Source organism: Homo sapiens, chromosome 3, assembly GCF_000001405.40.
Source record: "Homo sapiens chromosome 3, GRCh38.p14 Primary Assembly".
Taxonomy (NCBI): Eukaryota; Metazoa; Chordata; class Mammalia; order Primates; family Hominidae; genus Homo; species Homo sapiens.
Genome location: NC_000003.12, coordinates 41,920,234 through 41,944,897, shown reverse-complemented (window position 1 = coordinate 41,944,897; position 24,664 = coordinate 41,920,234). Strand labels below are relative to the sequence as shown.

General features: G+C 41.6%; 1 protein-coding gene across 4 annotated transcripts in view, besides 2 other annotated features; it reads left to right on the top strand.

The window, feature by feature from the left end:
* Window positions 1–24,664, top strand: part of ULK4 (unc-51 like kinase 4) — a 715,505-nt gene that overhangs the window by 17,206 nt on the left and 673,635 nt on the right. For all 4 annotated transcript variants that reach the window (NR_136342.2, NM_001322501.2, NM_017886.4 and 1 more), the window contains exons 3-5: window positions 6,701–6,800; window positions 8,958–9,097; window positions 12,892–13,054. Coding sequence is in view for 2 of the 4 variants with exons in the window: in NM_017886.4 (NP_060356.2) it covers window positions 6,701–6,800; window positions 8,958–9,097; window positions 12,892–13,054 (403 nt within the window). In the remaining 2 variants the exon portion in view is untranslated. The remainder of the gene's footprint in view (window positions 1–6,700; window positions 6,801–8,957; window positions 9,098–12,891; window positions 13,055–24,664) is intronic.
* Window positions 10,115–10,315: a silencer, noted in NCBI's record as "peak4618 fragment used in MPRA reporter construct". NCBI's record gives its function as "represses an SCP1 promoter by STARR-seq MPRAs in K562 erythroleukemia cells {active_cell/tissue: K562}" and the evidence as "EXISTENCE:reporter gene assay evidence [ECO:0000049][PMID:32103011]".
* Window positions 18,835–19,335: an enhancer, noted in NCBI's record as "H3K4me1 hESC enhancer chr3:41967055-41967555 (GRCh37/hg19 assembly coordinates)". NCBI's record gives its function as "activates a minimal SCP1, AML or CMV promoter by ChIP-STARR-seq in naive H9 embryonic stem cells {active_cell/tissue: H9 hESC(naive)}" and the evidence as "EXISTENCE:reporter gene assay evidence [ECO:0000049][PMID:30033119]".

Below are 24,664 nucleotides of genomic sequence, written 5' to 3'. Positions count from 1 at the left end.
ATATGGTGATGAGAGAAACCACTTGTGTGAGATGCTGCTAATAAGGTGAGGACTGAGGATTTGGCAATGGAGAGGCCACTGATAACCTTGAAGAGAGTGGTTTCAGAAAGTGGTGGGGATGAAAGCTGGAACTGAAATATGTTTAAGGGGGAGTGAGCCGGGCTTACTGGCTCATTCCTGTAATCCTGGTGTTTTGGGAGGCTGAGGTGGGAGGATTGCTTGAGGCCAGGAGTTTGAAACCAGCCTGGGCAACATAGCAAGACCCTATCTCTACAAAAATAAATAAGTACACTTCTTATAAAAAGAGGGAGTGGGAGAAGGTAGAGGCCATCCTTAAGGAGTTTTGCTGTATCAAGGAGCAGAGAAATGGGATGATAACTGGATGGAGACAGGAGGTTGAGATGGAAAGAATTATCAGGAGTTACTTCTGACTCCTGACATCTGAAATTACGTTTTTTTAGACAGGATCTCACTCTGTAGCCCAGACTGGAGTACAGTGGCATGATTTCAGCTCACTGCAACCTCCACCTCTTGGATTCAGGCAATTCTCCTGCCTCATCCTCCCGTGAAATTACACGTCTTAAAGCAGGTGGTTTATTTTCTCTCATGTAAAGGAAACTGCACTTGCAAACTGATTCTACCATGTCATCAATTCCCTGTCATTCTTCTCTGCTATCCTTATTGAACTTGGCTTATGTGCAAGGCCATTTCACAGTTGCTGGATGGCCACTGTCACTTTAGTTATCATGTCAGCTTTCCAGGGAGGAAGGGGAAGAAAGAGGGTGCCACGGGGTTACGTTGAATAAACCCCATTAAGTGTTTTCCAGGAAACCTGAGCTACTGACCCTGTTAACATCTTGTTGGTGTCCCCTTTCTGGGCAGGAGGGGCGGAAATCTTTTTCTGGACAGGCACAAGGCTGTTCTGTCATAGAGGAATTCTGTTATTAAAGATTTAGGTAAGCAGCTAGCAGCTTTTCCATAAGGATAATAATTTCAGCATGTTTGTATGCTGATGGAAATGGTCTATTAGCAAGGGAAAAATACTCAGCATAATGTGGCGAGGAGACAGTTGTATAATGTAAGTGAAGTTTGAGGGGGGTTGGGATCATGTATACAAGGGGAGGTTTTGGCTTTTGGAAGGAGCATGGATAGTTGAGGTAAGGCAGGGTATGGTACAAGATGCAAGTTGGTGGATTCCATGCCAGGAGCCTGAGAAAGTTCTCTTCTGTTTGGTTCTATCTTCCCTGAAATAAGCAAAGTCATCAGTTAGGAGGTAGGAGAGGAGAGGAAAGAGGAGGTGTGAATGGTCACTTGAAAAGCAGGTTGTCTTGGGCCATTTGAGATTTGTGATCATAAATTTAAAGTAAATCAGGCAGCATGGTTTGTTTCTGCTTTACCTGCTTGAGTAGCTGCAGAGTATGTGGAGGGTTGGTTGAGTTTAACCAGAATTGGAATGGTTGTGGGAGCGGGCTGGAAAGTGCGTGTATATGGTCACAGGCTAGGATGTGTAACAGAGATTTTGGTGGTAATGCAGTTTTAGTAAAAGTCTAGCAACACCATCTAATAAAAATATAATGGGGGCCACAAATCTAATTTTGAATTTTTTAGTAGCCACATTGAAAAATGAAAAACAAATGGGTGAAATTAACTTTGGTAATATATTTCTTTCTTTTTTTTTTTTTTTTGAGATGGAGTCTCGCTCTGTCGCCCAGGCTGGAGTGCGGTGGCACGATCTTGGCTCACTGCAAGCTCCGCCTGCCGGGTTCACGCCATTCTGCTGCCTCAGCCTCCCGAGTAGCTGGGACTACAGGTGCCCACCACCATGCCCGGCTAATTTTTTGTATTTTTAGTAGAGATGGGGTTTCACCATATTAGCCAGGATGGTCTTGATCTCCTTACCTCGTGATCCACCCGCCTCGGCCTCCCAAAGTGCTGGGATTACAGGCCTGAGCCACCGTGCCCAGCCTAACTTTGGTAATATATTTCTAAAGCCAGTATACACAATGTATGATCACTTCAACATATAATTGGTTAAAACTATTTATTTATTTAATTTAATGAAATTAATTAATTTATTTTTTGAGATGGAGTTTCACTCTTGTTGCCCAGACTGGAGTGCAATGGCACCATCTTGGCTCACTGCAGCCTCACCTCCCGGGTTCAAGCGATTCTCCTGCCTCAGCCTCCTGAGTAGCTGGGGTTACAGGCATGCGCCTCCATGCCCAGCTAATTTTGTAGTTTTAGTAGAGATGGGGTTTCTCCATGTTGGTCAGGCTGGTTTTGAACTCCTGACCTCAGGTGATCCACCTGCCTTGGCCTCCCAAAGTGCTGGCATTACAGGCGTGAGCCACCGCGCCCGGCCTATTTATTTATTTTTTTGAGATGAAGTCTTAATCTGCCACCCAGGCTGGAGTGCAATGGCGTGATCTAGGCTCACTGCAACCTCTGCCTTCTGGGTTCAAGTGATTCTGCTGCCTCAGACCCCTGAGTTCCTGGAATTTCAGGCATGCACCACCATGCCTGCCTAATTTTTGTATTTTTTATAGAGATAGGGTTTCATCATGTTGGCCAGGCTGGTCTTAAACTTCTGACCTCAAGTCATACGCCCACCTTGGCCTCCCAAAGTGTTGGGTTTACAGGTGTTAGCCACTGCACCTGGCTGGTAAAAACTATTATTGAGATATTATTATTTTTTGGTATGAAGTCTTCAGAATACTGTGTGTATTTCACATCTGTAGCACATCCCAGTTCAGACAAGCCACTTTTCGAGTTCTCAGTAGCCCTGTGTGGCACATCGCTCCCACATTGAACACCGCAGGTCTGTGGAGTAACCGTGGATAGGTGGTTGAGGTGAAGGTGGAGGGCAGGACTTTGAGAGGCAGTTTGGCCCAGCATTTGGAAGAGTAGGCGTGGGGCGTATGTTGAATGATGAGGAGTGCTGGAAGGAATTGCTGGGGCCCAGATTCTGTTGGTGATTCTGTTGGAATTGCCATGCTCCCTTTATTTTTCATCAGGACCTCCCCCTTCCTGTGCCTGAATCAGTGGGAGTCCTTAAACATGGTCACCAGGTGGTCTTCCTTATTCTTTGGTGGCTTATTAGTTTTACAGTTTCTTTCTCTTTTTTTTTTTTTTTTTTTTTTTTGAGACAGAGTCTCACTCTGTCACTCAGGCTGGAGTGCAGTGATGTGATCACGGCTCACTGTGCCTTGACTTCCCGGGCTCAATGGATCCTCCTGCCGCAGCCTCCCTAGTAGCTGGGACCACAGGCATGTGCCACCATGCCTGGCTAATTTTTTAATTTTAGTTTTGTAGTTTCTTACAAGTTGCTCCTTAAATTTTCTCTTGGTCGCTCTGCTTTTTGCTTTTTAACTCCTCTGTCGTCTAAGTTATGTGGATCCATTTTCCTCTAATTGTGCTACGGTATGAGCCCACCTAGTTGTTCACAGAGTGTTTCATTTTTAAAATGGGGAGCTCTGCATATATGGGCTCATTTGTTTGTGTTAAGTGGTAGTAGAGTTTGGATGTGACTTTAAAAAAAAAGGTTTTTTTTTTTTTTTTCAAGCTGGGCACAGTGACTCATGCCTGTAATCCCAGCACTTTGGGAGGCTGAGGTGGGAGGATCGTTTGAACCCAGGAGTTCAAGACCAACTTGGGCAACAAAGTGAGACCTTGTCTCTACAAAAAATCAAAAAAGTCAGCCGAATGTAGTGGTGCAAGCCTGTGGTCCCCACTACTCTGGAGGCTGAGAGAGGAGGAGGATCCCTTGAGCCCAGTAGATGAAGGCTGCAGTGAGCCATGACTGTGCCACTGTGCTCCAGCCTGGGTATAGAGTGAGACCTTGTTTCAAAAAAAAAAAAAAAAGGTTAAGAACAGGATTGAAAGCACTTTGGTAGTTGTCAGCAATTTTGGATCTTGATGGTTTGCTAGTAATGCACACATTTTTGTGGTCTTATTTTTCATATTTAGTGGAATTTTAAAAGGCGAAAGCAAAACCTCCGAAACAACTTAGTATTTTTTAACAGATAGGCTTTTGCATCTTTATCATTTGTTTTTTATGCACAAGTATTCTTATGATCCATAACAGAAATGTACATTTTTAAGATCAATGTGTTTATTGTAAAGATTCCTTTTGCAATAGGGTGAATTGATGACATTAGGATTCACTGAGGGTATCTTTATTTTATTTTTTATATTTATTGAATAGAAAATAAGTAAGAATGTTTCTATTTTTATTTTTTTTGGAGGTGGGGTCTTGCTGTCTTGCCCAGGCTGGAGTGCAGTGGTGCAACACAGTTCACTGCAGCCTTGAACTCCTGGGCTCCAGCTATCCTCCTGCCTCAGTGTCCTGAGTAGCATCCCAGGTATGCATCACCATGCCTGGCTAATTAAAAATTTTTTTTTTTAGTGAAGATGAGGTCTTACTATATTGTCCAGGCTTGTGTTAAAACTGTTACTGAAACACCAGAGGTTTGGTCCAGGTCCTGCTGTTTTCCACTCAGAAAACCAATCACTGAGGTGACACGTATTGCCAGGGAAGAAGGCTTTAATCAGGTGCTGCAGCCAAGGAGGTGGGAGCTCAGTCTCAAATCCAATCTCCCTGACTGACTAAAATTAGGGGTTCATATAACAGGAAAGAAACGTAGCAATGTGTGGGAAAACAGACCTCTGGAGGTGAAAGGAAGCAGTCATGATGAATGAGGGGCCTGGCGCTTCGTGTCTGGATGTGGTGATCTGGTGAGGTTCAGATCTTTGATACTTTTTGAGAGGCTTGGGGGTCCTTTCCTGAGGAAGGAGCTCAAATAAAACAGGTGTAAGTTTCAAGCTTTAAGACTAGAAGTGTCAATTTCTATGTTTATTAAAAAAAAAAACAACAAAAACTATGGCACCGGTACCCAACTTGTTTTGACACCAGGGACTGGTTTTGTGGAAGACAGTTTTTCCATGGGGTGGGGATGGTTTCGGGATGAAATGTTCCACCTCAGATCATCAGGCATTAGATTCTCATAAGGAGTGCGCAGCCTAGATCCCTCCTATGCACAGTTCACAATAGGGTTTGTGCTTCTGTGAGAATCTAATGCCACTGCTGATCTGACAGGAGGCGAGCTCAAGCGGTAATGCTTGCTTGCTGACTGCTCACCTGCTGCTGTCTGGCCTGGTTCCGAACAGGCCATGGACCTGGACTGGTCCATGGCCCAGGAGTTGGGGACCCCCCTGGCTCAAGTGGTCCTCCTGCCTTGGCCTCCTAAAGTGTTGGGATTACAGGCATGAGCCACTGCCAGTGACCAGGAATATTTTTAAAAGTAGATTGTAGAATCCTTCTGAGAGTTCTTTTAAATATAAAAATAATACAAGTTCACTGTAGAAACTTGGACAATAGGGAAAAATGAATAGAAGAAAAAAAGGATAATTGTCCTATCACCTACAGATAATCATTGCTTGACCAGGCACAGTGGCTCATGCCTGTATTCCCAGCACTTTGGGAGGCCAAGGCGGGTGGATCACTTGAGGTCAGGAGTTCAAGACCAGCCTGGCCAACATGATGAAACCCCATCTCTACTAAAAATACAAAAATTAGCTGGGTGTGGTGGTGTGTACCTGTAATCCCAGCTACTTGGGAGGCTGAGGCAGGGAATTGCTTGAACCTGGGAGGCAGAGGGTGCAGTGAGCCGAGATTGCACCACTGTACTCCAGCCTGGGTGACAGAGCGAGACTCCTCCTCAAAAAAAAAAAAAAAGGGTAATCATTGCTCATGTCTTGCTTTGTTTCCTTCTAGTTTTTGAGTTTGTTCTTTAATGGTTTAGTCGTGGTATAAGTTTGTTTCTTGCCCTTTTCAATTAACATAACACTCGTTCCTCTATGTTGTAAAATTAAGTATACATTTTAATGTTGACGATATTTTGTCAGTTGATAATACAACTTAGTGACCTATTGTGTTATTGAGTAGTTAGGTTATGTTTACTTAGCAGAAAATTTTTACCCTTTAAAATTGTTTTTTTCTTTCTTGGCCATAAAAGTAGTGTGTCTTAGTGTAGCCAATAGAAAATGAGAGAAAAGTAGAATTAAAAAACGCCAGCAGTTTCACCAATAACGGTAGCTATGTTGGTGAATATCCTCTGGTCGTTTTTCTATAAATAATTCTTTTGCAAATTTGTATTTACACAGACACACATAAGAGTATTACACAAGTTTAAAAAAATTTATTTATTTATTTATTGAGAGATGGAGTCTTGCTCTGTCACCCAGGCTGGAGTGCAGTGGCGCAGTCTCAGCACCCTGCAACTTCTGCCTCCTGAGTTCAAGCAATTCTCCTGCCTTAGTCTCCTGAGTAGCTCGAATTTCAGGCGCGTGCCACCACGCCCCGCTAATTTTTATATTTTTAGTAGAGACGGGGTTTCACCGCGTTGGTCAGGCTGCTCTTGTACTCCTGACCTCAAGTGATCCAACCCACCTCGGCCTCCCAAAGTGCTGGGATTGTTACAGGTGTGAGCCATCTTGCACCGCCAGAAAAGTTTATTTTTAAGTTAATGTTTTTCTGTGTAACTAGCCCTCATAACCATGATTTCTAATGTCTGTATAGAATTCCACCAAATAAATGTCACCATTTTCTTATCCATTTACCAATTGTATATTTAGGTTTTTCTCAGTAGATGTAAGAGTTTTAGGAATTTCTTTTTAGAGTGATTGCTCTGTGTTTTTATAGGTCCGTCTCACCCGTGAAATAAAACACAAGAATATTGTAACTTTTCATGAATGGTATGAAACAAGCAACCACCTCTGGCTAGTGGTGGAACTCTGCACAGGTAAGAAAGAGTATGTAAAAAGTGCTATGAATATAGTATTGAAAAAAAACATGCTGTTAAGTTTTGTTACTTTTGATGTTATTTACTATGTTAACTTGAAAATCTATTGCTCTGTGGATATTAGGGAAGGGTGAAGAGCAAAGACATTTGGGAAAAAGAAGAATTATGTAAATTCAATTCCGGGTTGGATTTACTTTCGTGTATTATTACGTTATATACATAAAAATTTAGAAATGTTTTAAAGTGATGATTAATTTATCAAAAACGTTTTCCCAATAAATAAAAACAAACATTTTAAGTTGACTAGCTATTAATTAGCTAATAAATTTATAAAGTATCTTTGTTTTTATGAAAAGCATACTGTACCTCATAAAATTTTCAGCAATGTGAAAAAGTACAAAGATGAACCAACAAATAATTAGAGATAACAAGTTATAGCTATTGCTTCATATAGCTTTCTAGGACCATATACAGGGAGAAAGGTGACTAAATACATATTATCTGGGCTTTTAGTTTCAAAATTTTTAACAGGGAAAAAATGTAATAACCACTGCTAAGTACTACTATTAACTATTAATAGGTATTACTGTTAGTGTACTTCTGTTTATACATTGAGTAACAATAAAGGATAATTGAATATTGATATAATTATTACTAGCTTTATGCATCTAACTTATATTGATACTTAGAATTTATAAAACTTAAAGAAGTAATTTGGATTAATAACTTATTTGATTTTATTTTTCTGAATCAATAGGACAGGATTATGGTTGATTACTTCCATGGATGTACACATGGACAAGGTTATCAAGACACAGTCCTGGAATTAGTTTTTTGCTTCAGCTGTTGTTTCTGATCTCTGACCAGATGTAATATCCTAACTGTAAAACATGCCTACGTTTGTAACTGCACGTCACCCACCAAAACAAAATAAAACCCCAAATACCTCTTCCCTTCATCATAGTAATTCATATTCAACTTTTCAATGCCAGCAGAAACTTTACTTTTACTGAATTTGGCTGTTGTATTAATATTTAATTTTTGTAGGTATATAGTATGTGTGTGTATTAATATTTATGGGGCACATGAGATAGTTGGTACAGGCATGCAGTGTGTAATAAGCACATCAGGGTAAATGGGGTATCCATTTCCTCAAGCGTTTATCCTTTGTGTTACAATCCAATTATATTCTTTTAGTTATTTTAAAATGTACAGTTATTATTGACTTTAGCTACTTGTTGTACTATCAAATACTAGTTTTTATTCATTCTTACTATTTATTTGTACCCATTAACCATCCCCACTCCCCCACCACCTCCCCACTATCCTTCCCAACCTCTGGTAGCCATTCTTCTGTTCTCTATCTCCATGATTCCAATTGTTTTAATTTTCAGCTCCCACAAATGAGTGAGGACATGCGATGTTTGTCTTTCTGTGCCTGGCTTATTTCACTTAACATAATGACCTCCAGTTCCAACTGTGTTGTTGCAAATGACAAAATCTCTTTTTTATGGCTGAATAGTACTCCATTGTGTATATGTATCATATTTTCTTTATCCATTCATCTGTTGATGGATTGGCTGTTGTAATCTTGACCCTTTAAAAAAAAGTTTATTTCTGGCACTTAGATGGTAGAGAAGTAACTGGGACCTTGGAAGAATATAGCAATGGGATTCTCAATGTGCCTGACTTTGGCCTTTTATTTCATCAATGGCGCGTGCTAAGGGTTGTGATTATCTGTTAAGGAAAGGCATAGTCTTTTTTGCCATGCAGTACTTTGCAGAATGTGACCTGACTGCACAACAGTAAACGATACTATACTTTGCATAATGTGATTTAAGTGCACAGTTTTGGGGTATTTACCATTAGTATTTATAGCTGTTAGGGTTATTATCCTTTCATCTTACCTGCTTGCTTCTCACCATTCATCCATAGGGAGCAGGCACTTTCCTGAATCTGTCTCTGGTGCTTGGGCATAGACTTCTGTTGCAGTGCTCGGGCCACTGTATTTACTCACATGTGTGTTCCTTGACCAGGCTGTCAGCGTTTACTGTCTTGATCATTTTTTAATGTTCGTATCTGTCAGCGTGGAACCTCTCAGGGGCACTCTGTGATGGTAGGGGGTTGAAATGGGTGATTTTAATCAACCTCTTGCAGGTGGTTCCTTAAAAACAGTTATTGCTCAAGATGAAAACCTCCCAGAAGATGTTGTGAGAGAATTTGGAATTGACCTGATTAGTGGATTACATCATCTTCATAAACTTGGCATTCTCTTTTGTGACATTTCTCCTAGGAAGGTAATTCATGAAAGTTTTTGATTTTCTAACTGCTTCTGTCTCAAATTAGAGTGCTTTCTCAAAGATGTTGTTATTTTTGGATAAAATTTTGGTATAGAATATCTTGAAATTTTAGTTAATCTTTTTTTAAAATAAAAGGAGGCAGGGCACGGTGGCTCATGCCTGTAATCCTAGCACTTTGGGAGGCTGAGGCGGGCGGATCACTTGAGGTCAGGAGTTCGAGACCAGCCTGGCCAACATGATGAAACCCCATCTTTACTAAAAACATAAAAGGCTAGGCGCGGTGGCTCACGCCTATAATCCCATCACATTGGGAGGCTGAGGCGGGCGGATCACGAGGTCAAGAGATGGAGACCATCCTGGCCAACATGGTGAAACCCCATCTCAACTAAAAAAAAAATACAAATTTAGCTGGGCGTGGTGGTGCGCTCCTGTAGTCCCAACTATCTGAGAGGCTGAGGCAGGAGAATTGCTTCAGCCTGGGAGGCAGAGGCTGCAGTGAGCTGAGTTCGTGCCACTGCACTCCAGCCTAGCAACAGAGCAAGACTCCGTCTCAAAAAAAAAAAAAAAAAAAAAAAAAAAAAAAAAAAATAAATAAATAAATAAAAACACAAAAAATAGCTGGGCATGGTGGTGAGCGCCTGTAATTCCATCTACTTGGGAGGCCGAGGCAGGGAGAATTGCTTGAATCCGGGAGGCAGAGGTTGCAGTGAGCTGATGCCACTGCACTCCAGCCTGGGTGACAGAGCGAGACTCCATTTCAAAAAAAAAAAAAAAAAAAAATTAATAAATAAAAGGAAATATATGGTACAGTATTTTAGCTGCCTAAGTTGCTTTTTGAATGTGAAGTCTCCCTTTCAGAGCTCTTTGAGTAATTACTTAATGCACTAACCTATATTGTAAATGATGAACCCAATATGTCTATAAGATAAGGCCCTCTTAGCTCTTAAGTCATTGTACACATTTATGAACCATTATTTTAGTTTGATAGTGGCATTCTTGGCTATATGTGTATGATTCCTGATATTATGGATCAAATATTTTCTCTTTTGGTAAAATTAATTATCCATAACTAAATGTGCTTCAGTATAGTAGAGTCATGAAACCTACTTGGTTTCTGAGTTGCAATCAACACTAACACTTAGAAGCCATGTGAACCCGGACAAATTACCCTGCTTCTCTTTGCCTTAGTTTCTTTGTCACATGGAGATAGATTTTTCAAGATATTTGTGAGGATTACCTATTATATTTAGGTTAAGTTTCTAGGATACTTTTTGGTAAGTAGTGTGCTCACAGTGATGTCAGTTATTGTGTTTATAAGTACATCCTCTGAGGAATTGTACATATTACTGGTCTGAGTTTTTACTTTTTCTTTAATATGTGCCAAGGAAAGAAAAAGCTGGATATTTCATTTAAGAATTTTATTTTTGCAGGCCATCTGTATGAGAATATAATTAAACCTAAAAAAGAAAACTCCATAAAATCCTGTATAATGAATTGTAGTTCTTGTTTGAAATTATCATGTATGTGCCTCAAGTCTGCAGCTACTCAACTGTCATTGTAGTGCTGAAAGCAGCTGTAGACAATTTGTAAATACCTGGATGTGGCTGTATTTCAGTAACTTCATTTATGGATATGGAAATGTGGATTTCATGTAATTCATTGTTACATGTCTAGAAATATTATTTTGATTTGTTTCTCAGCCATTTAGAAATATAAAAACCACATTTTTAAAATTTTTTTATTTTATTATTATTTTTTTTGAGACACAGTTTCACTCTGTTGCCCAGGCTGGAGTGCAGTGGTGTGATCTCAACTCACTGCAAACTCAGCATGCCAGGTTCAAGCGATTCTCCTGCCTTAGCCTCCCAAGTAGCTGGGACTACAGGTGTGTGGCAAATTTTTGTATTTTTAGTAGAGACGGGGTTTTACCGTGTTGGCCAGGCTGGTCTCAAACTCCTGACCTCAGGTGATCCTACTGCCTTGGCTTCCCAAAGTGCTGGGATTACAGGCGTGAGCCACCATGCCTGGCTAAAAACCACATTATTTTTTTTTTATTAATTTTTTGTGTGTGGCAGTTTTCAGATACGGCTTAAAAAAAAAATCCAACACTCTTAGTTCATAGCTGTACAAGGCAGTGGCCAGGGTTTGTCCCAGAGGCTGTAGTTTGCTGATATCTATCCGGGAGTTGTTTAATGAGATTTATTATCAGCTGTTATGATCTGAAAAATTCAGGCTGCTTTGTAACCTAAACTTGTGTTCTAGAACAGGGGTTAGCGAAGGTTGGGCAGGATTCCTATTTTTGTATATAAACTTTCACTGGAACACAGCCACAACCTTTGGTTTATGTAATGTCAGTGGCTACCATTGTGCAACAACATAATTGAAGTATGAGATTCCATTGAAATGAAATGACATTGAAGTACAAAAGACTGTATGGCTCGTAAAGTCTAAAATATTTACTAGCTGGCTCTTTACCAACAACAAAAAAGTTTGCTGATCCCTGCCAGTGGTCCTCTGGACCAGCAGCATTAGGTTGACCTGGCACTTGGTAGAAATGGGCCCCATCCAGACCTGTTGAATCAGAAACTCTGGGGGTAGTGACTGGTAGTCTGTGCTTTAACAAGTCTTCCAGGGGATTCTGATGCTCACACAAGTTTAAAAGCCACTGTTGTAGACCAACAGACATCCTTAGTATGTATTTGTGACTAGAAGTTAAGAGTTAACTTCACATTGCCTTTATTTTATTTATTTTATTTTAGACAGGGTCTCGCTCTCATGCAGGCTGGAGTGCGGTGGCGCAACCTTGGCTCACTGCAACCTCTGCCTCCCAGGTTCAAGCGATTCTCGTGCCTCAGCCTCCTGAGTAGCTGGGATTATAGGTGCCTGCCACCATGCCCAGCTAATTTTTGTATTTTGAGTAGAGATAAGGTTTCACCATGTTGGCCAGGCTGGTCTTGAACTCCTGGCCCTAGGTGATCTGCCTGCCTCAGCCTTCCAAAGTGCTGGGATTACAGGTGTGAGGCACTGCACTTGACCCTACATAGCCTTGAAAAACCACAAAGCCACCTGACCCATTGTACCTATGTAGAAATACTTTTAATACGGGAAATAATAAAAGTAACAGAACATTAGTTACTGGCATGTTTTCAACAATCCATAGATTCTAATCACAAATTATATTAGCAGACTTGAGCACTTGTCACATGCCAGTGACTGTTACAAACCCTTTACTTGCATAACTTCGATTAATCCTTACAGCAGTCTGAAGAGTTAGGTATTATTTTTCCCATTTTACAGGTGAAGAGATTGGGGATTAGAAAGGTTAAATAAATTCTTTAAGGTCAGACAGCAAGTAAATGGTGGACCTGGGTCTAAAATCCAGATCTCCAACTTTAATCTTAATGCTACATTATGCTTCCTCACTTGAATAAACAACACCTCAGGCAGTTGGGTTTTCAAATCCTGTTATAGCTGACACTGAGAGTTGGCAAGGGCAGATTGTTTTATTTTCATCGTTGTTAATCTTTCCCCAAACCTGAAGTTTTCCACTATGGTTATATGATGTGTTCATTATATACATCTGAGAATGAACAATTTAATTTTTTATTTGATTATTAAAAAGTTGGATTTATTTTTCTTTAGCTTTTAAAAAAATTATAAGCATTTATTTTTCTGAGTTCTGATAAAGAATAGCAATGCTGAAAAGTTCTTTAGTACAATTATAAGAGGTACTGATATATGTACAAATTAAGTTGATTTTTTTTCTGAAAACATTTATTTGATCTTCATAGATACTCTTGGAAGGGCCTGGCACACTGAAGTTTAGCAACTTTTGCTTGGCAAAAGTGGAAGGTGAAAATTTGGAAGAGTTCTTTGCTTTGGTGGCAGCAGAGGAAGGAGGAGGTGATAATGGGGAAAATGTCCTGAAGAAAAGCATGAAAAGTAGAGTCAAAGGTATGTGGACCTGGAAAGCTTAAAGATCATAACTCTAGTTGTGGACCATCCAAGTCCTGTGTTTAGGAGACAATGTCAGTCTTTTGTTTTGCCACTCAAATAAGATATTGAAAATGGTAATGACCAGCAGACATAGTCTGGGCATAGGAATGGCTTTGTCCATGGCCTAAAGTATTCAATGTGGATCTACTCTGTAAGGCCTGGGGAACCTTAACAAAACCTGTATTTCGTCCTCAGCTTTATGTTTTACTGAGCACTCATTAGCACATAGGAAGGGAATGGTGCCTGGCACATTAGCGGCTCAATAGAAATTAGTTGAGTGAATGATATTCTGCAGTTGAAACATATTTCTTTCTTTTTTTTTTTTTTTTTTAAGTTCTAGGGTACATGTGCAGAACATACAGGTTTGTTACATAGGTATATATGTGCCATGGTGGTTTGCTGCACCCATCAACCTGTCATCTACATTAGGTATTCCTCCCAATGCTATCCCTCCTTTAGACCCCTACCCCCTGACAGGCCCCGGTGTGTGATGTTCCCCTCCCTGTGTCCATGTGTTCTCATTGTTCAACTCCCACTTACGAGTGAGAATATGTGGTGTTTGGTTTTCTGTTCTTGTGATAGTTTGCTGAGAATGATGGCGTCCAGCTTCATCCATGTCCCTGCAAAGGACATGAACTCATCCTTTTTTATGGCTGCATAGTATTCTGTGGTGTATATGTGCCACATTTTCTTTATCCAGTCTATCATTGATGGGCATTTGGGTTGGTTCCACATCTTTGCTATTGTGAATAGTGCCGCAATAAACATACGTGTGCATATGTCTTTATAGTAGAATGATTTATAATCCTTTGGGTGTATACCCAGTAATGGGATTGCTGGGTCAAGTGGTATTTCTGGTTCTAGATCCCTGAGGAATTGTCCTCCGCAATGGTTGAACCAATCTACATTCCCACCAACAGTCCAAAAGCATTCTTATTTCTCCACAGCCTTGCCAGCATTTTTGTTTCTTGACTTTTTAATAATTGCCATTCTGACTGGTGTGAGACGGTATCTCATTGTGGTTTTGATTTGCATTTCTGTAATGATCAGTGCTGGTGAGCTTTTTTTCATATGTTTGTTGGCCGCATAAATGTCTTATTTTGAGAAGTGTCTGTTCATATCCTTTGCCCACTTTTTGATGGGGTTGTTTGCTTTTTTCTTGTAAATTTGTTTAAATTTCTTGTAGACTCTGGATATTAGAACTTTGTCAGATGGGTAGATTGCAAAAATTTTCTCCCATTCTGTAAGTTGTCTGTTCATTCTGATGCTAGTTTATTTTGCTGTGCAGAAGCTCTTTAGTTTAATTAGATACCATTTGTCAATTTTGGCTTTTGCTGCCATTACTTTTGGTGTTTTAGTCATGAAGTATTTGCCCATGCCTATATCCTGAATGGTATTGCCTAGGTTTTCTTCTAGAGTTTTTATGGTTTTAAGTCTTACATTTAAGTCTTTAATCCATCTTGAATTAATTTTTGTATAGAGTATAAGGAAGGGGTCCAGTTTCATTTTTCTGCATATGGCTAGCCAGTTTTCCCAACACAATAGGATTTCCTATTAAATAGGAAATCCTTTCCCCATTGCTTGTTTTTGTCAGGTTTGTCAAAGATCAGATGGTTGTAGATCTCTATTCCGAGGTCTGTGTGCTGTTCCATTGATCTATATATCTGTTTTTGTACCAGTACCATACTGTTTTGGTTACTGTGGCCTTGTAGTATAGTTTGAGGTTAGGTAGTGCGATGCCTCCAGCTTTGTTCTTTTTGCTTAGGATAGTCTTGGCTATGCGGGCTCTTTTTTGGTTCCATATGAAATTTAAAGTAGTTTTTTCCAATTCTGTGAAGAAAGTCAATGGTAGCTTGATGGGGATAGCTCTGAATCTATAAATTACTTTGGGCAATATGGCCATTTTCATGATTTTGATTCTTTCTATCCATGAGGATAGAATTTTTTTCCATTTGTTTGTGTCCTCTCTTATTTCTTTGAGCAGAGGTTTGTAGTCTCCTTGAAGAGGTCCTTCACATCCCTTGTAAGCTGGATTCCTAGGTATTTTATTCTCTTTGTAGCAGTTGTGAATGGGAGTTCACTCATAATTTGGCTCTCTGTTTGTTTGTTATTGGTGTATAGGAATGCTGGTGATTTTCGCACATTGATGTTGTATCCTGAGACTTTGCTGAAGTTGCTTATCAGCTTTAGGAGATGTTGGGCTGAGACGATGGGGTTTTCTAAATATACAATCATGTCATCTGCAGAGACAATTTGACTTCCTCTCTGCCTATTTGAATACCCTTTATTTCTTTCTCTTGCCTGATTGCCCTGACCAGAACTTCCAATACTATGTTGAATAGGAATGGTGAGAGAGGTTATCCTTGTCTTGTGCCGGATTTCAAAGAGAATGCTTTCCTTTTTTGTCCATTCCGTATGATATTGGCTGTGGGTTTGTCATAAATAGCTCTTATTATTTTGAGATACGTTCCATCAATACCAAGTTTATTGAGAGTTTTTAGCATGAAGCGGTGTTGAATTTTGTTGAAGGCCTTTTCTGCATCTATTGAGATAATCATGTGGTTTTTTGTCATTGGTTTGTTTATGTAATGGATTACATTTATTGATTTGTGTATGTTGAACCAGCCTTGCATCCCAGGGATGAAGCTGACTTGATCATGATGGATAAACTTTTGGATGTGCTGCTGGATTCAGTTTGCCAGTATTTTATTCAGGATTTTCACATCGATGTTTATCGGGGATATTGGCCTGAAATTTTTTTTTTTTTAATATCTCCGTCAGGCTTTGGTATCAGGATGATGCTGGCCTCATAAAATGAGTTAGTAAGCAGGAGTCCCTCTTTTTATATTGTTTGTAATAGTTTCAGAAGGGATGTTATCAGCCCCTCTTTGTACCTCCGGTCGAATTCGGCTGTGAATCTTTCTGGTCCTGGACATTTTTTGATTGGTAGGCTATTAATTACTGCCTCAATTTCAGAACTTGTTACTGGTCTATTCAGGGATTTGACTTCTTCCTGGTTTAGACTTGGGAGCATGTATATGTCCAGGAATTTATCCATTTCTTCGAGATTTTCTAGTTTATTTGTGTAGAGGTGTTTATAGTATTCTCTGATGGTTCCTTTGTATTTCTGTGGGATCAGTGGTAATATCTCCTTTATCATTTTTTATTGTGTTTGTTTCTTTTCTTTGTTAGTCTTGCTAGTGGTCTATGTATTTTGTTGATCATTTAAAAAAAAACAGCTCCTAGATTCATTGATTTTTTTTTTGAAGGGTTTTTCGTGTCTGTATCTCCTTCATTTCTGCTCTGAAATTAGTTATTTCTTGTCTTCTGCTAGTTTTTGAATTTGTTTGCTCTTCTCTTGTTCTTTTAATTGCGATGTTAGGGTGTCAATTTTAGATCTTTCCTACTTTCTCTTGTGGGCATTTAGTGCTGTAAATTTCCCTCTACACACTGCTTTAGCAGTGTCCCAGAGATTCTGGTACATTGTATCTTTGTTCTCATTGGTTTCAAAGAACTTCTTTATTTCTGCCTTCATTTCATTATTTACCCAGTAGTCATTCAGGAGCAGGTTGTTCAGTTTCCATGTAGTTGTGTGGTTTTTGAGTAAGTCTCTTAATCCTGAGTTCTAATTTATTGCACTGTGGTCTGAGAGACTGTTACGATTTCCATTCTTTTGCATTTGCTGAGGAGTGTTTTACTTCCAATTATGTGGTCGATTTTAGAATAAGTGTGATGTGGTGCTGAGAAGAATGTATATTCTGTTGATTTGGGGTGGAGAGTTCTGTAGATGTCTATTAGGTCTGCTTGGTCCAGAGCTGAGTTCAGGTCTGAATATCCTTGTAATTTTCTGTCTCATTGATCTGTCTAATATTGACAGTGGGGTGTTAAAGTCTCCCACTATTATGGTGTGGGAGTCTATGTCTCTTTGTAGATCTCTAAGAACTTGCTTTATGAATCTGAATACTCCTGTATTGGGTGCATATATATTTAGGATAGTCAGCTCTACTTGTTGCATTGATCCCTTTACCATTATGTAATGGCCTTCTTTGTTTCTTTTGATTTTTTGTGTTTAAAGCCTGTTTTATCAGAGATCAGGATTGCAACCCCTGCTTTTTTTTTTTTTTTTGCTTTCCATTTGTGTGGTAAATATTCCTCCATCCCTGTATTTTGAGCTTATGTGTGTCTCTGCACGTGAGATGGGTCTCCTGAATACAGCACACTGATGGGTCTTAACTCTTCATTCAATTTGTCAGTCTATGTCTTTTTAATTGGGGCATTCAGCTTGTTTACCTTTAAGGTTAATATTGTTATGTGTGAATTTGATCCTGTCATTATGATGTTAGCTGGTTATTTTGCCCGTTAGTTGGTGCAGTTTCTTCACAGTGTTGATGGTCTTTACAATTTGGTATGTTTTTGCAGTGGCTGGTACCGGTTTTTCCTTTCCATGTTTAGTGCTTCCTTCAGGAGCTCTTGTAAGGCAGGCCTGGTTGTGAGAAGATCTCTCAGCATTTGTTTTTCTGTAAAGGATTTTATTTCTCCTTCGCTTATGAAGCTTAGTTTGTCTGGATATGAAATTCTGGGTTGAAAATTCTTTTCTTTAAGAATGTTGAATATTGACCCCCACTCTTTTCTGGCTTGTAGAGTTTTTGCAGAGATCCACTGTTAGTCTGATGGGCTTCCCTTTGCGGGTAACCCAACCTTTCTCTCTGGCTGCCCTTAACATTTTTTCCCTCATTTTAACCTTGGTGAATCTGACAATTATGTGTCTTGGGGTTCCTCTTCTCGAGGAGTATATTTGTGGTGTTCTCTTGTATTTCCTGAATTTGAATGTTGGCCTGTCTTGCTAGGTTGGGGAAGTTCTCCTGGATAATATCCTGAAGTGTGTTTTCCAACTTGGTTCCATTCTCTCCATCACTTTCAGGTACATCAATCAAACGTAGATTTGGTCTTTGACAGTCCCATATTTCTTGGAGGCTTTGTTTGTTCCTTTTCATTCTTTTTTTCTCTAACCTTGTCTTTTCGCTTTATTTCATTAAGTTGATCTTCAGTTTCTGATATCCTTTCTTCCACTTGATCTATTTGGCTATTGATACTTGTGTGTGCTTCATGAAGTTCTCGTGCTGTGTTTTTCAGCTCCATCAGGTCATTTATGTTCTTCTCTAAACTGGTTATTCTCGTTAGCAATTCCTCTAACCTTTTTTCAAGGTTCTTAGCTTCCTTGCATTGGGTTAGAACATGCTTCTTTAGCTCGGAGGAGGTTGTTGTTACCCACCCTCTTTAGCCTACTTCTGTCAATTTGGCAAACTCGTTCTCCATCCAGTTTTGTTCCTTTGCTGGCGAGGAGTTGTGATCCTTTGGAGGAGAAGAGGCGTTCTGGTTTTTGGAATTTTCAGCGTTTTTGTGCTGGTTTCTCTCCATCTTTGTGGATTTATCTACCTTTGGTGTTTGATGTTGGTGACCTTCGGATGGGGTTTCTGTGTGGATGTCCTTTTTGTTGATATTGATGCTATTCTTTTCTGTTTGTTAGTTTTCCTTCTAACAGGCCCCTCCGCTTCAGGTCTGCTGGAGTTTGCTGGAGGTGCACTCCAGACCCTGTTTGCCTGGATATCACCAGCAGAGGCTGCAGAACAGCCCATATTGCTGCCTATTCCTTCCTCTGGAAGCTTCGTCCTGGAGGGGCACCTGCCAGATAGCAGCCGGAGCTTTCCTGTATGAGGTGTCTGCTGGCCCCTACTGGGAAGTGTCTCCCAATCAGGAGACACAGGGGTCAGGGACCCACTTGAGAAGGTAGTCTGACCTTCAGCAGAGCTTGAATGCTGTGCTGGGAGATCTGTTGCTCTCTTCAGAGCCATCAGGCAGGGACGTTTAAGTCTGCTGAATCTTCTCCCACAGCCACCCCTTCTCCCAGGTGCTCTGTCCCAGGGAGATGGGGGTTTTATATATAAGCCCCTGACTGGGGCTGCTGCCTTTTTTTTTCAGAGATGCTGCAGTGGGCTCCACCCAGTTCGCTCTTCCATGTGGCTTTGTTTATGCTGTGAGGGTAAAACCGCCTACTCAAGCCTCAGCAATGGTGGATGCCCCTCCCCACACCAAGCTCGAGCGTCCCAGGTCAACTTCAGACTGCTGTGCTGACAGCGAGAATTTCAAGCCAGTGGATCTTAGCTTGCTGGGCTCCGTGGGGGTGGGACCCGCTGAGCCTGACCATGTGACTCCCTGGCTTTGGCCCCCTTTCCAGGGCAGTGAACGGTCCTGTCTCTCTGGCCTTCCAGGTGCCACTGGGGTATGAAAAAAAACTCCTGCACCTAGCTTGGTGTCTGCCCCAACGGCCACCCAGTTTTGTGCTTGAAACCCAGTGCCCTGGTGGCGTAGGCACCAGAGGGAATCTCCTGGTCTGTGGGTTGCAAAGACCGTGGGAAAAATGCAGTATGTGGGCCGGAGTGCACTGTTCCTCACGGCACAGTCCATCATGGCTTCCCTTGGCTAGAAGAGGGAGTTCCCTGACCCCTAGCGCTTCCCGGGTGAGGCAACACCCCACCTTGCTTCTGCCTGCCCTCTGTGGGCTGCACCCGCTGTCCAACCAGTCCCAGTGAGATGAACCTGGTACCTCAGTTGGTAATGCGTAAGTCACCTGCCTTCTTCATTGATCTCACTGAGAGCTGCAGACTGGAGCTGTTCCTATTCGGCCGTCTTGCCAGCATCTCCAAAGCAAATTTCTAGGGTGTATTCTTGGTATGTGAGGTGGGGCCGGGGGTGTTAAAATTGCTATACTTGAGGGGAGAGTATGAAGTGATGTTTCTTATACCTTTTGGGGGAAGTGGTAAAGATCTTCCTCCTCATATACCATGTTCAGGTACTTGAGACTTTGGGCCATTGAAGCTCTGTGATACTCATCATGCTGTCAGCTGAGTTTGGTGGCAGTTGTAGGAAAGGGCACTATGCAAGAGGGTGGCAGGCATCCTTGGACTTGGTAGTCATGTGGCCCAGGGATGAGGGAAGAGGATGGAGAGCAGCAGGTTAATCATAGGCCCCATAAATAGGACTAAAGGAAATTAAACTTTCAGGGCCCAGCTTGTATATGGTAAGATTTCATGCCCAAGAAGAAGGCTTTTAATGTCCTTAAATTGCATTCCATAGAATTATCAGTATTCTTTGAAAATGACTGTTGTGGTCTATGTTAGTAGGATATGAAGTTCTGAATTATTGTGTATAATTTTATAGAAAACAAGGTCAATGGTATATTTCAGTATAAATGCATATTTAGTAAGGGGAAGAGAGCTGTGTTTTGGAAAAATAGGTCAGACATTCTAGCAGTGATGCTTACTTCTGAACTTAATCTAAGAACAGTCTCTATGACAGGGCAGGTTAGTCTGTTTGGCCAGGGGAGAGGACGCTTTCGTAACCAGCAGGGCAGAATCAGCCCTGACCTTTTGGGATCGTGTACTTCATAGGTGGTTAACTTTTACATCCCTGTGGCATTAAGATAAAAATAGAGTGTAAAACCACTTCTGTTTTCCTGGAGACTTTGAGAATTCACTGTCTAAGTATGGCGATGAGCAAGGCACATGAAAAAAATCACCCTACCTTTTGACATATTTGAGTAGGTGGGTACTGGGGTGGGGTTGATGATTGGTCAGTGGTGGTATACAGCCATAAAGAATCTGTTAACATTGATGCTGATTTTAGGGCAAAAATTTTGGTTAGGCTGCATAAAAATAATATCGAAAAGAGCTTCTAATAAGGACATCTGGATTCTGGTTCTGCCTTTGCTTCTTTGTAACCTTCAGAGTAGTGTCACATAGCTGCTAGGAGTTTTAATTTCCTGTGTAAAGATAGGGGTTGGCTGGATCATAGTTCCCAAATTCAGGGACAGAAAAGTTATATAAATCAATAATGTGGCCTAGTGTAAGAGGGATTAATGGGGGTTATGTCAAACTACGCTCAGTTTTGGCCCAGTGTTGTTGATTGATTTAGAGAAATTAGAAATCTGGGCTGATTTATGAAAAGAGTTTCAAATTTAGAATCCTCTACCTACAGGTTAGGGTTCAGGTTCCACGGTCTGGTCCCTGATTGCCTCTCTGTTCTTGTGGCCAGAAGATTGTGCTTCACTGTCCTTCAATTGCAGGTACAACTGACCAAGGCCTCCAACTACTTGAAGAAATTCATCAGTGCTTTTGCTCTGAGGCCATGCTTCTCATGACTGCACCCAGCTAATGACTGAGCTTGGAGGGGATGCTAAGGCAGGCCTGTTCCTAGGAGACACTCTGGTGGCTGACATTGGTTCAGGGATTCTTTTTTGTTTGTTTTGAGATGAGCTCTTGCTCTGTTGCCCAGGCTGGAGTGCAGTGGCGTGATCTCAGCTCACTGCAACCTCTGTCTCCGGGTTCAAGCAATTCTCTGGTCTCAGTCTCCCAAGTAGCTGGAATTACAGGAGCACACCACCATGCCCAGCTAATTTTTGTATTTTTAGTAGAGATGGGGTTTCACCATGTTGGCCAGGCTGGTCTTGAACTCCTGACCTCAAATGATCTGCCCACCTCAGCCTCCCAAAGTGTTGGGATTACAGACATGAGCCACTGTGCCCAGCCTGGTTCAGGGATTCTTATTTTTTTTATTATTTATTTATTTATTTTTTTGAGACAGAGTCTTGCTCTTGTTGCTCAGGGTGGAGTGCAATGGTGTGATCTCGGCTCAGTGCAACCTCTGCCTCCCAGGTTCAAACAATTCTCCTGCCTCCCGAGTAGCTGGGCTTACAGGTGCCTGCCACCATGCCTGACTAATTTTTTTGTATTTTTAATAGAGACGGGGTTTCACTATGTTGGCCAGGCTAGTCTCGAACTCCTGACCTTGGGTGATTTGCCCACCCCGGCCTCCCAAAGTGCTGGCATTACAAGTGTGAGGCACCGCACCTGGCCTGGTTCAGGGATTCTTGATGATCCTGAAGAACCTTTCTTAAGACTGCATGGCATCTATCTAAGGATGCTTTCATCTAATCTTCTTTCCCTTTCTCTTTGCATGGAGTCCATCGTACATTGCAATCTGACCAGATTTTCCCATTTTTTTCTCATAGACGCTTCCTGTAATAAAATCCTTGTGTGGATAATTCTGTCTTGGTGTCTGCTTCTTGGGGGACCCAGACTAACAGTTCTCACCCCATCTCTCCCCTCACCCCCCACCTTGCCACCCCCCTCACCCCTTAACCCCACCTTTGGCTTTGTGTTCCAGCAACACCCTGTCTTCACGATTTCCTGCACTTGTTGTGTAGCTGCTCACACCCATGCCCTTACTCTTTCGGTTCTTGTTTCTTTCTCTTTCCTTCCATACTCTCCCCTCCCTTCCCTTTCCTTCGTCTTGCAGTGGCATGATCATATCTCACTGTAACCTTGAGCTCCTGGACTGAAGCGATTCCCCCACCTCAGTCTCCTGAGTAGCTAGGACTGCAGATGTATACCACCATGCCTGGCAAAGTTTTAAATTTTTTTGTAAACTGGGTTTTGCTGTGCTGTCCAGGCTGGTGTCGAACTCCAGGCCTCAAGTGATCCTCCTGTCTTGGCCCTCCAAGTAGCTAGGAGTACAGGCTTGTGCCACCACACCTAACCCTTTCTTATTTTATTTTTTCAGCTTTCTTATTTTATTTTTAACTATTTTATTTGCGATGGAGTCTTGCTCTGTTGCCTAGGCTGGAGTGCAGTGGTGTGATCTTGGCTCACTGCAAGCTCCGCCTCCTGGGTTCATGCCATTCTCCTGCCTCAGCCTCCGGAGTAGCTGGGATTACAGGCATGCACTACCATGCCTAGCTGATTTTCTGTTTTTAGTAGAGATGGGGTTTGTCCATGTTGGTCAGGCTGGTCTCGAACTCCTGACCTCAGGTGATCCGCCTGCCTCGGCCTCCCAGAATGGTGGGATTACAGGTGTTAGCCACCGCATCTGGCCGGCTCCAACTTTGTTGAGAAAGACTTCCTTACTTCTTTGTCTGGATAGCAGGATTTTATCAGACTGAATACTGAAGTGTTGTTTTCTTTTAAAACTTTCATAATATTTTTTGCATAAACCATTTAACTTACCATGTAATAATATACTGTTTTGTGTATTTGTTTTCCACCCATTTGAGTGTGAACCCAGAGACTTTAATTCCATTGTTTATTAGTGCATTTATTTGTTAATTCCACATTTATTTATTTATTTATTTAGAGACGGAGTCTCGCTCTGTTGTCCAGGCTGGAGTGCAGTGGTGCCATCTCGGCTCACTGCAAACTCCGCCTCCTGGGTTCATGCCATTCTCCTGCCTCAGCCTCCTGAGTAGCTGGGACTACAGGCGCCTGCCACCATGCCTGGCTAATTTTTTGTATTTTTTTTTATGAGAGACGGGGTTTTACCATGTTAGCCAGGCTGGTCTCGATCTCCTGACCTTGTGATCTGCTCGCCTCGGCCTCCCAAAATGCTGGGATTACAGGTGTGAGCCACCGTGCCCGGCCCTCGTTTATTTATTTTTTGAGACAGAGTCTTGCTTTGTTACACAGGCTGGAGAGCAGTGGCGTGATCTTGGTTCACTGCAGCCTTCGCCTACTAGGTTCAAGTGATTCTCATGCCTCAGCCTCCTGTGTAGCCGGGATTACAGGTGCCCTCCACCATGCCCAGCTAATTTTTGTATTTTTGGTAGAGATGGGGTTTCACCAGGTTGGCCAGGCTGGTCTTGAATTCCTGGCCTCCAGTGATCTGCCTGCCTCAGACTCTCAAAGTGCTGGGATTACAAGTGTGAGCCTGGTCCACATTTATTTCTTAATTTGACTAGTTTAGGCAAGTTCTAGGTACTGGAAGTAAGGATGGGAAGACAAACATTCATATTCAACAAATATTAATGAAACATCTATTAAGTGTTGGACAGAGTGCAAGGGTGTTCCATGGGCGTTATTTGTCTTTGTTTCCTCAGCAGCTGGTGCAGGCAAATATACCTTCCATCGATGTGTACAAAATGTGATAGCATAGCAAAAATGCTCCATGGGAGAACTTTACAGTCACGCATCAGGGCACACAAAGCTGCTGATCTCGCTGTAATGGGCTCTGGAGATAGGATTTGCTGGAAGGCTTACCTCAGTGGAATTTTGTTTCCAAATCATTGGAGATTACTTTCTTCCTGGAGAAAAGATTCTCATTGGGAGGCGGGAGTTAGATGGAATGCAGAGAGTGTGCACCAGGGAGAGACAAGGACCCTGGGTCTTGGCAGGTGCTCTGCAACTGCCTAGCTGTGTGATTTACTGGAGGTTAAGTATCCCTCTAAAGCTTCCATTTCTCTTGTCAGTGAATAAGGGAACTTTCTGGCTCTAAAATATGGGATTTCTGTGTAATATTAAACTTTGTATAAAGTATATGGGGCACACAATGGGGCTTTTCACTAAATATTTCCTATTCTCCTGGATAGATGGTAGGATTGCATCCTCTCCCTGGTCAAAGCCAACTAAGTGTGAGCGGAAGTGATGTGAGTAACTTTGAGATGGGAATTTTAGGAGCCAGTGTTCAGTTAGCTACATTCTTTCTCCCTGCCTCCAAGTGAGGAAGCATGAGTGGAGTTGG